The sequence below is a fragment of the Homo sapiens genome, chromosome 11 (assembly GCF_000001405.40).
Source record: "Homo sapiens chromosome 11, GRCh38.p14 Primary Assembly".
Classification (NCBI taxonomy): domain Eukaryota; kingdom Metazoa; phylum Chordata; class Mammalia; order Primates; family Hominidae; genus Homo; species Homo sapiens.
The window spans coordinates 134,268,153-134,283,845 of NC_000011.10; the positions used below are offsets into that span (position 1 = coordinate 134,268,153).

At 48.8% G+C, this 15,693-nt stretch overlaps 1 protein-coding gene across 12 annotated transcripts in view, besides 5 other annotated features; it reads left to right on the forward strand.

Annotated features, from left to right (window-relative positions):
* Positions 4,690-5,245: an enhancer, noted in NCBI's record as "OCT4-NANOG hESC enhancer chr11:134142736-134143291 (GRCh37/hg19 assembly coordinates)". NCBI's record gives its function as "activates a minimal SCP1, AML or CMV promoter by ChIP-STARR-seq in naive and primed H9 embryonic stem cells {active_cell/tissue: H9 hESC(naive and primed)}" and the evidence as "EXISTENCE:reporter gene assay evidence [ECO:0000049][PMID:30033119]".
* Positions 7,386-7,495: an enhancer, noted in NCBI's record as "active region_5772". NCBI's record gives its function as "activates an Ori minimal core promoter by ATAC-STARR-seq in GM12878 lymphoblastoid cells {active_cell/tissue: GM12878}" and the evidence as "EXISTENCE:reporter gene assay evidence [ECO:0000049][PMID:35858748]".
* Positions 7,556-7,685: an enhancer, noted in NCBI's record as "active region_5773". NCBI's record gives its function as "activates an Ori minimal core promoter by ATAC-STARR-seq in GM12878 lymphoblastoid cells {active_cell/tissue: GM12878}" and the evidence as "EXISTENCE:reporter gene assay evidence [ECO:0000049][PMID:35858748]".
* Positions 7,615-15,693, forward strand: part of GLB1L3 (galactosidase beta 1 like 3) — a 49,538-nt gene continuing 41,459 nt past the window's right edge. For 8 of the 12 annotated variants that reach the window (XR_002957120.2, XM_011542567.3, XM_011542566.3 and 5 more), the window contains exons 1-5: positions 7,615-9,299; positions 9,548-9,760; positions 13,225-13,293; positions 13,873-13,968; positions 15,585-15,693. Coding sequence is in view for 11 of the 12 variants with exons in the window: in XM_011542567.3 (XP_011540869.1) it covers positions 9,010-9,299; positions 9,548-9,760; positions 13,225-13,293; positions 13,873-13,968; positions 15,585-15,693 (777 nt within the window). In the remaining variant the exon portion in view is untranslated. The remainder of the gene's footprint in view (positions 9,300-9,547; positions 9,761-13,224; positions 13,294-13,872; positions 13,969-15,584) is intronic. The other 4 variants (NM_001080407.3, XM_017017156.3, XM_017017155.3 and 1 more) reach the window with 1 other exon arrangement.
* Positions 7,836-7,885: an enhancer, noted in NCBI's record as "active region_5774". NCBI's record gives its function as "activates an Ori minimal core promoter by ATAC-STARR-seq in GM12878 lymphoblastoid cells {active_cell/tissue: GM12878}" and the evidence as "EXISTENCE:reporter gene assay evidence [ECO:0000049][PMID:35858748]".
* Positions 8,336-8,405: a silencer, noted in NCBI's record as "silent region_4097". NCBI's record gives its function as "represses an Ori minimal core promoter by ATAC-STARR-seq in GM12878 lymphoblastoid cells {active_cell/tissue: GM12878}" and the evidence as "EXISTENCE:reporter gene assay evidence [ECO:0000049][PMID:35858748]".

Below are 15,693 nucleotides of genomic sequence, written 5' to 3' on the forward strand. Positions count from 1 at the left end.
ACTAATTGTGTGGCTTTGTTACCGAAATGCCAGGGGTTCAGTCTAGGTCCTGCTGCTCACCGCACAGAAAGCCGATGACTGAGATGACAAGTATTGAGAGGAAGAAGCTTTAATCGGCTGCTGCAGCCGCGGAGATGGGAGCTCAGTCTCAAATCCATCTCCCTGAGGGACTAAAACTAGGGAGTCGTATACCAGGGAAGAAATGTACCAATGTGTTAAGAAAGCAGGAACTAGGAAGGGGCACGGAAGCAATTGTGATGAATGAGGGGTCTGGCATCTCGTCTGGATGTAGTGATCTGGTGAGTTCCAGTTCTTTGATACCTGTTTTGAGAGGCCTGAAGGTCTCTGAGGAAGGAACTCAGATAAAACAAATATAAGGTTCAAGCTTTAACACCAGAAGGTCAATTTCTATGTTTATCCAAAAAACTATCTATGGGACTGCTGGGTCACTGGGTCGCTTTCGGCTTTAAGCAAAATTACCACAACTCTCTTCAGCTTGTTTCCCCATGTATATTGGAGATCATAAAAGCTCCTACCTCATAGCATGGTTGGTGAATCAAGAGGAAGAATAAAGGGCTCAGAACAGAGCATATCAAGCAAAGCGTTATTAACCTCTTTCATAAACGAACATAGTGAGCCCTCCAGAGAATAAAGGGCTTTCTTAGACGTACACGGGTGGCAGGCTGAAGGTCTAAAGCACAACTCTTCCCAGGACCTTTAAGGTATTTAAGATTGTGTCTGGGAGTCTGTGGTGCTGAACACCTAATATTTCTGGTCTGCCTCTCTTCTGGGTAAATGACAGGAATGCATTTCCCTTTTGTCAATTTTACAAAAACATAAGCACATGAGCACATTGCTAAGATTTTTTCCCAGGGTCTTAGAAAGAAGGGGTCCATACAGGCCAGGCCTGTAATCTCAGTGCTTTGAGAGGCCTAGGCGGGAGTATCGCTTGAGCCCAGGAGTTTGAGGCCAGCCCTGGCAACATAGCAAGACCCCATCTCTATAAAAAATGTAAAAACTAGCTGGGTGTGTTGGTGCACACCTGCAGTCCTAGCTACTCAGGAGACTGAGGTGGGAGGTCATGGCTTGAACCCAGGAGTTTGAGGCTGCAGTGAGCTATGATTGTGCCACTGTACTCCAGCCTGAGTGACAGAGCAAGACCCTGTCTAATAAAGGAAAAAAAAAAAAAGGAGGGGGCCACATACAGGTTTCACAGGTTAGGAGCCCAGAAGCTTCAGCTTCATCAGCTTCACAGTGAATTTCCCACCGTCCATAAATTTGCATTGTCTAAATACAATTTTTTTTTTGAGATGGAGTCTTGCTCTATCGCCAGGCTGGAGTGCCGTGCCGCAATCTTGGCTCACTCCAACCTCCGCCTCCTGGGTTCAAGCGATTCTCCTGCCTTAGCCTCCCGAGTAGCTGGGATTACAGGCATGCGCCACCACACCCAGCTAATTTTTGTATTTTTAGTAGAGACAGGGTTTCACCATGTTGGCCAGGATGGTCTCGATCTCCTGACCTCGTGATCCACCTGCCTCGGTTTCTTAAAGTGCTGAGATTACAGGCGTGAGCCACCGAGCCTGGCCCTAAATACTTCCATATGCATTATTCTTACCACAAATTTGTTTCCTCTTTGGCACCCAGAAAGCCTTGCTATTCTAGGGCATTGTGGTCAGTAAAAGCCCCGTGTGGCTGGAAGCTCTCCGTGTCCATATGGACCCGGTAGGGGGACAAGGGGACTGCCGCGTGGACAGGGGGACTGCCGCAGTGGACGGGGGACTGCCACAGTGGTGCGGTAAACAGACTGGAGCAGCATGGCTCTGTGCATCTCCACCGCAGCAATTCCAGGTTAGTAACCCACACCAGAAGAAAGCGGAGAAGGACCCTCAGGGGCCAGAGAATGAAGTGGGATGCCCAACTGGCCAGTCCTTCCAACTGAAAATAAACCCCAGACACCAGGGGTGGATGAGGAGGGACACAATGAGCCAGGGTGAGAGAATGTCTTTCCATTGCTTGGAGTGGAGAAAAATGTGCCACTGCAACCTCCCTGTGAAAAGGCAGGGCCCTCAAAGCTTCTCCCACACTGCAGGCAGGACCCAGGTTCTTTGTCACCACGTGTGAGTGTCGAGTGTGGATGCACCAGCTCCTTGTCCCTGTCTTTCCCGGCTCCCTGCCCCTTTCACCCAGTCTCTGGATCTGGAACCAGAGCATCCTGGGGCTGGGGAGAGTGCGAAATCATGCACCTCCTATCACCACAAACAGAAAGCATGCACCTCCTATCACCACAAACGGAAAGCATGCACCTCCCATCACCACAAACAGAAAGCATGCACCTCCCATCACCACAAACAGAAAGCATGCACCTCCTGTCACCACAAACAGAAAGCATGCACCTCCTATCACCACAAACAGAAAGGAATCTCAGCTTTCCTCCACTAGGGGGTATTTAGTCCCACAGAAAAGAAAGGGATGCCCAATTCCCACCCCAGCTGAGAAGCAGGTGTCTCAAGTCTGAGGCAGCCATCACTGCCCAGGAAAGATGGGGCCTGGGGTTAATTTTCTAGTGTGCGCTCTTCGGCATGGTTCAGTTCTCTGCCTCCCCAACTTCAGTATGGGCATCACCATTGCCTCAAGTCTTTATATAAACAATGCTCCAAGACAGTCCACTGGTTACTTTCCCCAACCCCCACCTGGATGAAGATCCTGAGCCTCCCACACAGAAATTCTGGTCCTTCAACAGAAAATCTGGAAGTTTCTATTGAAACTTCCATTTTATCTGCAAACCAATGTGTGGGCATAAGAGTCTTCCACCAGACTTGAAGGTGATCAGAGTCTGAGAAGCATATTTGAATCATCTCTTCATCCTCAGTGCCTTCCTGGCACATAGTAGGGAACTCAATGTTTATTGAACAAATAGAAAAAGACTGGAAAAAAAGGATCATCAGCAATGATCGCTTCTTGCAGCTACTGGCAAATCTCACACAGTAACAGAGAAGATATCCCATCAAAAGTCAACTCATGGCTGGGCGCAGTGGCTCACGCCTGTAATCCCAGCACTTCGGGAGGCTGAGGCAGATGGATCACCTGAGGTCAGGAGTTTGAGACCAGCCTGGCTAACATGGCAAAACCCTGTCTCTACTAAAAATACAAAAATTAGCAGGGCATGGTGGCGGGCGTCCGTAGTCCCAGCTACTCAGGAGGCGGAGGCAGGAGAATCACTTGAACCCAGGAGGTGGAGGTTGCAGTGAGCCGAGATCACGCCACTGCACTCTAGCCTGGGCAACAGAGCGAGACTCTGTCTCATACAAACAAACAAGCAAAAAAACCAAAAAACAAAACAAAAGCAGCACAGGGAGTGAAAAGGCAAACTCAGAGGCAACACACTGTGTAATCCATTTACGTGGCATTCTGGAATCAATGCCATTATAGAGTTTGAAAACAGGTTAGTGCTGCCAGGGCTTAGAGTTAGTGATGGGAGGAGGAATATCCACACACGGGTGGCATGGGAGCCCTGTGGTGTCCAGGCAGGTCTGCAGACCGGCTGCACAGGGGCAGCCCAGTATTGCCTCCCTCCCTGCCCACAGTTCCGAGCTTGCTTAGGGGAGAGCGCAGGTGATCAAGGATTTGAGTCAAGGCAAGGTGGGAGAACAGGGCAGTGGCGAGACAGGTGGTTGGGTCTGGGCTTCAGTGTTTAAGTAAGGGGTTCTGTGCCTGAGATTCAGGCCCCAAGGGCAGGGTTCAGGAAGCCCCTGTGCTCCATGGCATTCCTCAGGGAGAAGCCTGACCAGAGGCAAGACTTTCTGAGGCCCAAAGCTCTGAGAAAGTGATTGTGCCCCCTCCCCATCCCCACAAACAATATTGAACTGTAAAGGGGTCTGGTATGCCAAGGAGTTGGATTTTATTCTGTAGTAACTGATACCCACATACAAAAGAATAAAATTGGCCAGGCGTGGTAGCTTATCCTTGTAATCCCAGTACTTTGAGAGATTGAGGAGGCAGGTCACTTGAGCCCAGGAGTTGGAGACCAACCTGGGCAACACTGTGAGACCCCATCTCTACAAAAAATACAAAAATTAGCCTGGCATGATGGTGTGCACCTCTGGTCTCCCAAAGCGCTGGGATTACAGGTGTGAGCCACCACGCCCAGCCGAAAAAACAGAAGAATTTTTAAGCCTTCTAATATTTGGATATAGTTTTCCATGTTCCCATAGTTTATTTTATAGACCTGATGGTTTAGAAGCATTTCACTTTCCGCTTTGCTAGCCACGTGGTTATACTTTAATTTTAAGTGCATTTGTGTGCTTTTCCTGAAGCATTTTCACCTAGGCCATCTCACTTAGTTTGAACAAGAGCAGTGCTTCGCACGCGGCTGCTTGCTGAGCAGAGTCCAGCGAACCGAATTGGGCAATATGAGACTGAATCTTTCCATTCCAGGGCCTTCAGATCCCAGCTGTCAACAGCCTGCTGTGTGACGTCACTGAAAGCCTCTGTGCTCTAGTTTCCTCACTGATAAAGGAGGGATACTAATGGTACCCGCTTTCTGGTGCTGTGAGAGTTAAGAGACAATAGACAGAAATGTCAAACATGCAGAACTGTGCCTGGCACACGAGTGCTTGGTAAATGTCAGCTATTCATAACAGAGGAAAAAACCTGATGAAAATAAATCACTTTTGGATAAGGATTTTAATATTCTTACAGACACTCCCCATCCAGCTCTTAGCTCAATGGATCAGGTTATCTGCAAGGACAGCAGCCTCTTGCTGGGTGCCCCATGGAGACAGCGATCTTCCCTCCTCTCTTACCTTCTCAAGGGTGGCCCTTTTCCATCACCAAGGCTGCACTCATGCAGAGAGGAAGCCTTCCCCCCCGACCTGATCAGGCTGATTAACTTCAACTCCCAGGGGAGAAGACTCTTGAGAACACACTTTAACCTTGGGTTCTCACCTGGAGCTCCGCATGATTTTCCATTTCCTTAACTAATGAATGCATCTAGCAGACTCAGTCCATAAAAAAGGCACATTTGAATGATAACAGCCAGAGCCCGGTGGCCGAGCTGGGCTGCCGCCTGCTGAGCAGCTCCTTTAGAAAGGCCTGCACTTGAGCGTTAGTTACCCTGTGGAGGGACAGGAGGCCGGCTGCTTCACTTCCCTCTGCTGGGAGTGGCCCTGCGTGATGGGGTGCATATCCACTTCATTTATTTTTTAATCTGTGGGAGACAGGTTATCAATTTACTTAAAGTTTGAATGTCTGTAAGGATGAAATTTAAAGCTAGGGCTCTGAAGATCTCTAGCAGGGATGTATCTGTCATCTACCTATCCCTCCATCTCAGCCTGTGAACTGCGTGTCATCATGGGTTAAATTAATTACTAAGAGACCACGGAGTCCATTTTATAGCTCAAATGAGCATTTTTCATTTCCTGTAGTAAACATGACTTAAGTAAACAAAGAGTTTCTCTAACAAGGATGGCTTACAAGTAGAAGTGGCTAAATTTTCACTTTTATAAATTTTGCTGCTTTTTATTAACTATCAATAAACCTAGAAAGATGATCTTACAAGTAAACAACAGATTTTGCATACTTTAACCTTAAAGATATCTCTGCCTCAACTCTTTGTTCACAGCTCTCTGACACTGGAATATTAATAGTTGATAATCTTTCCCTTTAATTTTTCACTGATAATATTAGTTCCTAACCCAGGTTTTTGGATCTCACAAGGGTTCTTATTATACAGTTGTCACATACATTTCTTTAAGAAGTTCAACCTAAGAAGAAATCAAGAATTGTCTTTTCTGGTTCATACATTAACTCCTATAGGGTTGTCCACTACTAAAGCAACAGAAAGTGCTGCCTTCTTTTTCTGGAAGCTGCTGTTCTTACAAGAGAGCAATTTAGGAGCAGGAATTGTGCTTTATTAACATCAAAGCACTGGCACAGGAAGTTTGCACACTCAGCTCTGGGAGCTTTTTGATGCTTTCTGCCTGCTTTGGGAAATTAGCTCTTTGTTTCATTATCAGTTATCTGGATGGAAACTGAAGGGAAAAATATTGATTTTTTTTTTTTTTTTTAATAAATTGTACCAGGATGCTGGGTCTGCGGCCCTAGTGGCTGGTCTTTCCTGTGCTTGGGATGTTGGCCTTGTAGAGTTACTTCTGTAATCTCAAGACAGAAACTGACAGCTTTGTTTGATCAAAATTGTTACTTCACCTTGCACATTTTCAAGAGTTCTACAGGTTTAATGAGCACAGAAATCTGGGGGAACTTTCACTCTCCAGGGCTCCTTCATAGAGGTTCTCAAATACTCCATCAGCAGAGGGGAGCCCCAGATGGCAAAAGGACACAGGATATGTCATCTTTCAAATGAACCAATAATCCATTATTTGATTCTTCTACCTTTGTCAAAATTCCTCCAGCAACGCCTGCAGAAAATCACAATTCTTGATACATAGCTTGTTCCAATAAAGCACCACAGCATTTCTAGTGACTGCAGGCCCAGCTGTCAAACTCTTTCAACTTGATAGAGAATATGTACACAAAACCTATAGCTGTCATCATACTTAATAGTGAAAAACAGAATGTTTTCCAGCTGACACTGGGGACAAGGTAACAGTGTCAGTTCCTGCCGCTCTTATTCAACACAGAAATTTTAGTCATCATACTAAGACACACAAAAAAAGGAATAAAAAGCCACGCAGACTGGAAAGGTAGAAATAAAACTCTCCATATTTGCAGATGACATGATTATCTACATGGAAAATGCCAAGTAATACACAAATAACCTCTTAAAATTAATAGGTGAGTTTGCCAAGGTCACAGGATATGAGATCAACATGAGAAACACAATCACATTTCTGTATGCTAACAACAAACATGTAAAAACTGAAATAAAAATAATAACAGTTTAAATCTCTTGAGAGCAAAGGAAATATTTAAGTATAAACCTAACAAAACGTGATAGGATCTGATGTTGAAAAAATCACACAATTCTGATGAAAGAAGTGAAAAAAAAAAAACTATTTAAATAGACAGACATACCATGTTCGTGGGTTGGAAGATTCAACATAATAAGGATACAATTCTCAATTTGATCCATAGGTTGATTGCAATTCCTCTCGAAATACCAACATGGCTTTTTGTAGAAACAGACAAGTTTATTCTAAATTTTATGTGGGAAGGCACAAGCCCTAGAATACTTTAAACTTGACAAAGAAGAATAAAGTGTGTGGCTGTAAAACCAAACTGTAAAAAATTAACAGTTCATTGCTTGCAGTCGAAAAAATGAGGAAAAGATGGACGATCTAGGAAACTTTCAGGGAGCTAAGGTGTCGGAGAGCAAAGTATCCTTGTAAGGAATGAGACAAGATAAACTCCCTCCCCCACACACAGTATTTTCAGAGAACTACATTCTTGGTTTCAACCTGATGTCATAGGCTGTGTTCTTTGCAACGGAAGAAGCAAAGACTTCAAAGGGAGAAATCGGAAGATTTCTTTTTTCATCGTAGGGACTTCACATCAGCGTTTCCAAAACCGAGTCCATCGCCTTTTCCCTCTGCGCAGCCTCTATCCCTTCCTGTGTTTCGCATCTCAATAAACGTCCCCGCCAAGTGACTTCAGCCTGAAACATGCGGCCTCCCGGACTCCTCTCTGTGTCACCGACCTCTTGCGCTCAGTTCTCCGGAGCTGCCGGTTTAACCTCGCAAGTCTTCCCGGAACCCGTGCCCTCCTCCTGGGCAGCGTTACCACCACGAGCGCCTACCTGAGAGGACGCCTGTTCTCATCCAGCCTCCACCCTGCAGCCGAGCAATCTCCGTAAAACGAACACCTGGCTTAGTTTCTGCTGGAAACCGTTGAATAGTCCCCACTGTCTTCTGGAAGGGTCTGGGCAGCTCGGCGTGGCGTCCACGGCCCCACCAGGCCTCTGCCTCCTGCAGGTCCCGCTACTTCGTCACCAAAGCGCCCGCCGCGCTCGCATCTGCTGTGAGGCTGTGCTCGGGCCGCTCCCGCCGAGGGAACGGCCCTCCCAAGGCTCTGCGCCCCAATTCTCGCTCGTTTGCCAAGAGGTAGCCGTGTCGGGGAGCTAGAGTTCTCCGGGGACTCTCTCCTGCCCCTCGTGGCCCTCTGTGGAACCCTCGTTTTAGGATCTGCACGCCGTTTCCAGTCGCGCGCGCGGCACGGAGACCGCCCGCTGTGCCCCGCGCTGCGCTCTCTCCGCCCCTCTCCCGCGCAGGCCTCCCTGTGCCAGCCGGCTGTCGACCCAGGTTAGGAAGCCCGAGGTCGGGGCGTTACCCCAAGGGCCCTCCCGCTTCCCCTCCGAGGGCAGAGAGGCGTCCGCGCCCGGACGCACTGCGGGAACACCTGGAGCGCCGGCGGAGCTCGGCTGTCCCCGCGGGAGGGAGCCCGACGCGCATCCTTGGGACCCGGACCCGGCGCCCGCGCCTCGGGACGGATTTCTGCCTCGGCTGCAGGCGCAGCGCGCAGACCTGAGCCTGCCCCGCGGAACCGGGGCTCGAGTCCCGGCCCGAGCGCGGCGTCGGGGCCAGCGGAGAGGGGCGGAAGCCGCAAGGGACCCTCGGCGCCTCGGCCTGGCCGCGATGAAGTCCCCGCCCCTCCTCAGGTGACGGATCGCCGCTGCCGTCCCGGGCTGCCCACCACCCCGGCGCGTGCCCGGGAGCCTCCACCCTCCCCGGGTTCTGTGGCCGGCCACGCGCCCCAGGCACGCGCCGCGCCGGGCCGCGCCACCAAGCCCGCTGTCCCCAGCTTTCCTCGGCAGATCCCCTGGCTACCCCCACCCTGCGGAGGGGCCGTTCACCAGATGCCAGAAAATCAGGGTGGGGCACGCAGGCCAGGGGCTCCAGCGGCTGGGCACCGTGTCCTTCCCGAACCTGGTGCTGGAAGTGCGCCCGCCTCCGCCTCTCCCAGGCACCCACCGGCACTGCCCAGCCCTGTCTGGAGGGTCTAGGACTGAACGTCTGTCCCCGGCCTTCATCCTGGCTGCAGAGGACTGGCCGGGTGATGCCGCGCTGTCCTGGCCCTGGGCCCGCCTGGAAGACCCGCCTGTGTCGCGGGCCCCCTCCCTGGCTCTGGCCTCTAAAGCGCCCCCGGCACAGCTTCCCGGCCCTTGCAGCCCGGTGGGGCCGGAACCTTCCCCTTGTCACTGTTGTCCTTTCTCCTTTCAGCCCGTGTCTCTCCTGGAAGAGAATGGCGGGCATCTTTTTCCTGCCATTTATCTCATCAGGTTTTGCTCCTCGGTTTAAGCAGGAAGAGAACTTCATGCTTGGAAGAGCGCATCCGTCCCAGCCTAGGTTTGCTTGAGAGCTACATCCCTGGGGAGGGAGGGGAGCGATCTCTCCTTTCTTGGAGAAAATAGTATCGCGAATATGCACAGAACACGTCCTACTAACATATGCACAGAACACGTCCTACTAACATATGCACAGAACACGTCCTACTAACAAAAACTTCTTTTCGCTAGGGTTTCAGCCGTGCCTCCGAGCCCTCTCCCGAATCCTCTCTCCCTTTCCACTTTCTTTCCCTCGCCCGCCCCCTCCAGGTTTAATTGGTCTCATCTGACCCCTCTGGAGCTGAAGAATCGATCTGTGGGACTTGGAACTGAAAGCACAGGTCGGGGTAAGCCCCACTTCACACTGGAGGGCCACAAGTTCCTGATCTTCGGGGGCTCCATCCACTATTTCCGGGTGCCCAGGGAGTACTGGAGGGACCGCCTGCTGAAGCTGAAGGCCTGTGGCTTCAATACTGTCACCACGTGAGTGCCGGCCCCTCACCTCCAGGATCTCGTTACCCTACAAGTGCATCCTGGCCGGGAACCTGAGCCTCCGATTTTGGGGGCCCAGCGTGAGGACTTACCTTCCGCACAGTCGTTTCCAGCACATACATTTAATGCTTAAGCGTCCAGCTGTCACTTAGTCTCATGCTGAGTTTGCTCTGTGATCAAAGACTTGGATAGGGGTTAGTGGGAGAATCTCAAGGGAGGAGGTTATTTCCTCAGGATTCTGTCTGTCTAATGAAGGAACACCAGGCGCCCTTGGGAGCACTCAGTTTAATGACATAAGCTTAAGGCACACTTACAGATAAATATGTACTTACAGATACATGCATGTTTTTAAAACAAAAAAAAATTTTTTTTTTTGAGACACAGTTTGTTGTTCTGTTTGTTGCTCAGGCTGGAGTGCAGTGGCCCGATCTTAGCTCACGGCAGCTTCTACTTCTCTGGCTCAGGTGATCCTCCTGCCTCAGCCTCCTGAACAGCTGGGGCCACAGGTGCATGCCACCACACCAGGCTAATTTTTTGAATTGTTTGTAGAGATGGAGTTTCGCCATGTTGCCTGGGCTGGTCTCAAACTCCTGGACTCAAGCAGTTCACCCTTTAAAAGGGAACACCACGGTCGTCCTCATGCCTGTATACAACTGACCAGCCACCCTGTATGACCACAAAAAAGCAAAACTGCTCCAGAATCAGAGGCCCTGTCCTCCTGAGGGCCTGCCACCACCATTTTGTGGCAAGCTTACCATCACACTCACTGTAAAGGAGAAGATGCTTAGAGGGCCCTGTGCCTTATTGCAGAGCTGGTATTGAAGGGTGAATTTGAAGCTGAGAGGCAGTAAACTGGTTCATTTAAAATGCAAAGAATTTAATCAGAAATAATCGTTGAGTTTTATTGAGAGCTGCTACTGCATGTATTGGGGGGACAATATAGTTTTTCTTCACTGTTCTTTTGAATTGCTGAATTACAACGGCAATTTTTCTGATAGTCAAGCAGCCATGTGGTACTGGTATAAACTCTGCTTGGCTCTGAGATAGGCACACATTACATACACACAGATTGCTAGACTTTATTTGCTAGTGTTTTATTTCAAATGTGTTTATGATTATAAGCAAAACGGATTTAAAATTTTATTTTGTTAGTATTCTTGTCCAGTTTTGAATCAATCTTATAATAAGCTCATAAAGTGAGTAAATCTTCTTTTCTTACTTATTGGAAATATTTTGCACAAGAATTATCTTTACCCTGAAAGTTTCTTAAGATTCACCTGTAAACTCTGTGACTACTATCTTTTGTGGTTTGTGAGGTGAAGGGTTTGGGGACGACATAGCTCTTTGAATGGTTATTAACTCATGTCCTCTATTTCTTCTTGAATACATCCTGCTCTCCCCCTTTTTTTCTTTCCTTTCTTTTTTCTTTCTGTTTTCTTTTTCTTTTTTTTTTTTTTTTTTTTGAGATAGAGTCTTGCTCTGTTGCCCAGGCTGGAGTGCAGTGGCGCGATCTCTGCTCACTGCAACCTCCCCCTCCTGGGTTCAAGTGATTCTCCTGCCTCACCCTCCTGAGTAGCTGGGATTATGGCTCCCGCCACCACACCCGGCTAATTTTTGTATTTTTAGTAGAGATGGGGTTTCACCATATCGGTCAGGCTGGTCTCAAACTCCTGACCTCAGGTGATCCGCCTGCCTCGGCCTCCCAAAGTGCTGGGATTACAGATGTGAGCCACCTCGCCCAGCCTTCTTTCTTCTTTTGAACCCACTGGGACTTAAGAAATTTTTCCTTTCTTTCCTGTACTCACTTGGAAGTTATATACATCACGTTGTGTATTTTGGCTGTTTTTTTCTTTTTTCTTAATCTTATCTATTTAGTCTTTTCAGATAACTAGCTTGTAGCTTTGTTAGTACTCTCTGTATATTTCGGATCTGTATTTCACAGTTTCTGAGTTATGTGTAATTTCCTTTTCTCTACTTTATTAAATATAGTACCTTCTCTTCTCTGTCCTTCTCAGTTTCCTCCTCCTCCTTCTTCTTTTTCCCTGAGTTAAAATTTAGCTTCTTTTACTTCCAGTCTTTTGTGTTTTCTAATATATTCCTTCAAAGATATGAATGTTTCTCTGAGTGTTGCTTTGGTTATATAGCCCACAAATTTTGCTATATAGTGCTTTGAATGTCATTTATTTTCAAATATTTCCTAAGTTTTGATGTTGTTTCTATTAGCTATTTGGGAATACGCTTTCTGTTTTATTTATTTATTTATTTATTTAAATTTTACTATTTAACTGTGATTTTTAAATTTGTTTGCATTTATCTTGGGATCATGGACTATGTGATATAGGTTTTTGGAATTTGTTGAGATTTACTTCGTGACATAGTACATGCCAATATTTTACAACTGTTTCATGCATTTTAAATTTTGGTCTTTTAAATTTTACATTCTTTTTTCATACTTAGTTGTACAGATGCGCTTTTTAAGGGAATGTAGATGCTCCATCTGTTGGCTACTGGGTTCTCTATGTATTTATTACATGCCGACTTTTAATTACACAGTTCAAATCTGTATCCTTACAAGTTTCTTCTTTTTCTTTTTTTGCTGCTTATTTTCTTTGTTTCTTAGAGGGGTACTTTAAATCTTTTCACTGTGATGGTAACTGATGTATCCAGGTCCTCTCTAATTCAGTCAGCTTCTCCTTTACTTACGGCAAGCTATGTTGTAACTTACAACATACAACAAGCTACGTTGTTAAGCTCATAGAAGGCCATGATTAGTATGTCTTCTTGGTGGGCCATACAGTCAGTTCTACGATGTATTGTCAAAAATCTCTGCACTGCACAAAATTGTGTAATAAAAACCACAGGGCTTATAGGAAACATGATGTTAAGGGGCATAACACTCAAACATGTTGCCAGTGGCACAAAAAAACACAGTTGCCTAGTGAACTATGCCTGGTATACCTAATAAAATTTTTACTCATAGCCCTATGGGGGAGGGTCCCCTGGGGGCCCTTCTTGCTAAGGTCTAAAGGTAGTACCCTTACTAGATTTACTGTAACTCCACTATCTTCACAGAAACTCCTCATTTATTCTTATTTTGACTAACTCATAGCAAAAATTTATAAGGAAGATGTAGACATTTTTGTTTTTGTTCTCTTTTTTAATTTATACTTTTAATGAGTGTTACAATAGGGCAGTGAGTGGAAGAATTTATATATAAATCCCAAGAAACCCAGCATCATAGGATAATTGGCAGCTTGAACCACAATTGGATAATAGAGCAAGGAACTATTAAAGATGGTCATGGTTAGTGTAACAGAGGTTTAATTTCCACTGGTAACTTCAACTTATTTCAAAATAGAGCTATGCATGGTTTTGGCTTGGATTTGGGGCAGACCTAACAATTTGGAGGAAGAAATAAGAAGATACTCATCATACTTCCCTCTCACCTCTTCTAGCTATGTTCCGTGGAACCTGCATGAGCCAGAAAGAGGCAAATTTGACTTCTCTGGGAACCTGGACCTGGAGTATGTGGTGTTGCTGCTTCTGTGCCCTGGTCAGGGGCAGGGCACAGAGGTGGCTACTGGGGGTGGATTAGCAACCAAAGAGAACCAGGGAGGGACGTGGGTCTGGAGTCCTGTTCTAGGACTGTGAGAGGCCCTGCACCCAGGACCCAGACGCTCCCCAACCGTGACCTGTCACCCAGAGGGACTGGGCCTGCAGCCTCCGGGCCCCACCTCTCCACTGCAGCCCAGAGGGGCAGAAGACCCTGGGAGCCGCCCGACTCTGCATGGGGTCTGGCGCCTGGGCTGGGGCAGGGCGGCCCCTCTAGGCTAGCAAGGCTATGGGGTCAGGTTCACTGTTGAGACCACTGAGCCCTGGGTGTCACCCTTCCTCCTCAGGCCCCCGATGGGGCTGTGCAGAGGCTCTGAGGCTGGGAGCAGCTCAGGCCACCGACCTGGTGTGGGAGTCCCCACGCTTTGGGGGTGGGGCCGAGCCGTCCCTTCGCCCCACCAGGCAGCTCCTCCACCCTGTGATGCGTGTGGCCCCCACCCGGCCTCATCCTGGGCCGTCGTGGGAGGGGCTGACGATGTGGACCTCCCTAGGGCCTTCGTCCTGATGGCCGCAGAGATCGGGCTGTGGGTGATTCTGCGTCCAGGCCGCTACATCTGCAGTGAGATGGACCTCGGGGGCTTGCCCAGGTAAGCGGGGCTACAGTCCCAGAGTCGTGGTTCTAGTGAAGTATTTGCTTTAAAAAAAGTGAATTTCAAGCTAGTAACAAGGAAAGTAACCTTTATTCACGGAGCCGATGGGAGGTGTGCTGCCCCACGCCACGCACCGTGCCTGTGTTGTCTTGTGGGAAGCCTGCGGTACTGCGGTGGCGGGGGGCGGGGTGCAGTTGTCATCCCCGATTCACAGATGAGAAGCTCCAGACGTTGGTCCTGGGGCCTTGGGCATGCGGTCAAGAGGGTGTGCGCGGGGAGAGGTGGCCACAAGAGGCTCCCACTCTTCTTTCCCCATGCAGGAGGGGCTGTAGCCTCCTCTGTCCTTCTCAAAATGCCCTGGGAAGAAAGGGACCAGAAGCTTTAAGGCCTGCAAGGGAAGGTTCTGACGACTCGGCTTGTTTTGAAAACTTCTGATCTTTCGCTTATTTTGTGAGGGGAAGGCTTGCCTTTCCATGCAGTGAGACCACCCTCAGCTCCCCTCCCTTCCCTCTTGCTTTTCTTTGCCTTGTTCTCTCCTCTGTGATTCTGGCCCCCAGCCCAGACTGCTGAGGGTCAGGGTGAGACTCCAAGACTCCTCTCTGCCACCCCTGTGGTGGGCAGGGCTTCCTGGGGAATCTGGGGCTCTGCCTCCAGTGAGCACCTCTGCACCTCAGAGTCAGATGAGGCCTTTGCTTTTCTCCAGGATGAAGAGAGAGGTCTTTGCTTTTCTCCAGGGGCAGAGAAAGCCTGAGCTGAGGGGAGTGGAGTTTTCGGGAAGCAGTGACTCCCGGCATAGCTTGGCTGGAGGCCTGCCTGGCACTTCCCCAGTGACCTGGAGTGGGTGGAGTATCATTGGCACGTAGGCTCCTGCCCTGAGCCTGAAGCCTTAGCCCTTAGTGGAAATGTGACACTGTGCCTAAGGAAATTTTTTCTGTCCCCAAGAATTTTTTTTTTTTAAGACGGAGTCTTGCTCTCGTCACCCAGGCTGGAGTCCAGTGGCGCGATCTCGGCTTGCTGCAACCTCTGCCTCCCGGGTTCAAGCGATTCTCCTGCCTCAGCCTCCTGAGTAGCTGGGATTACAGGCGCCCGCCACCACACCCGGCTAATTTCTGTACTTTTAGTGGAGACGGGAGTTTCGCCACGTTGGCCAGGCTGGTCTCGAACTCCTGACCTCAGGTGATCTGCCCACCTCGGCCTCCCAAAGTGCTGGGATTATAGGCATGAATCACCGCGCCTGACCAAAAAATGTTTTCAATAAACTGAAAAAGAATAGAGAGTGTTCACCAAAAGGTAGAAGAAAAAGCTCTTTAAGACATGGCTGTAAGAGCCTTGACAGGCCAGCCCCTCAGTCAGACCAAATAGAGCTGAAGGCCTTTCCGAAGTTGTGAAGTGCCTTGGAGGTGGAGGCGGCCGTTTCCTTTCAAATCCCACAAGTCTGTGAGAATGGTCTGAAAGTCTCACGCGGCACAGATCTTTCCAGGACCCGAGTGCTCCGGGACCGGGGGTGTGAGGCAGCTGGGCAGATGTGCGGCGAGCCGGGGCAGCTCTGAGCCCACTCCTGCTTCCCTCTCCCAACCCGTCTCAGACCCTGAGCCCGCCCCTCTTGCCCCCAGCTGGCTCCTGCAAGACCCCCGGTTACTGTTGAGGACAACCAACAAGAGCTTCATTGAAGCAGTTGAGAAGTATTTTGACCACCTGATTCCCAGAGTGATTCCTCTCCAG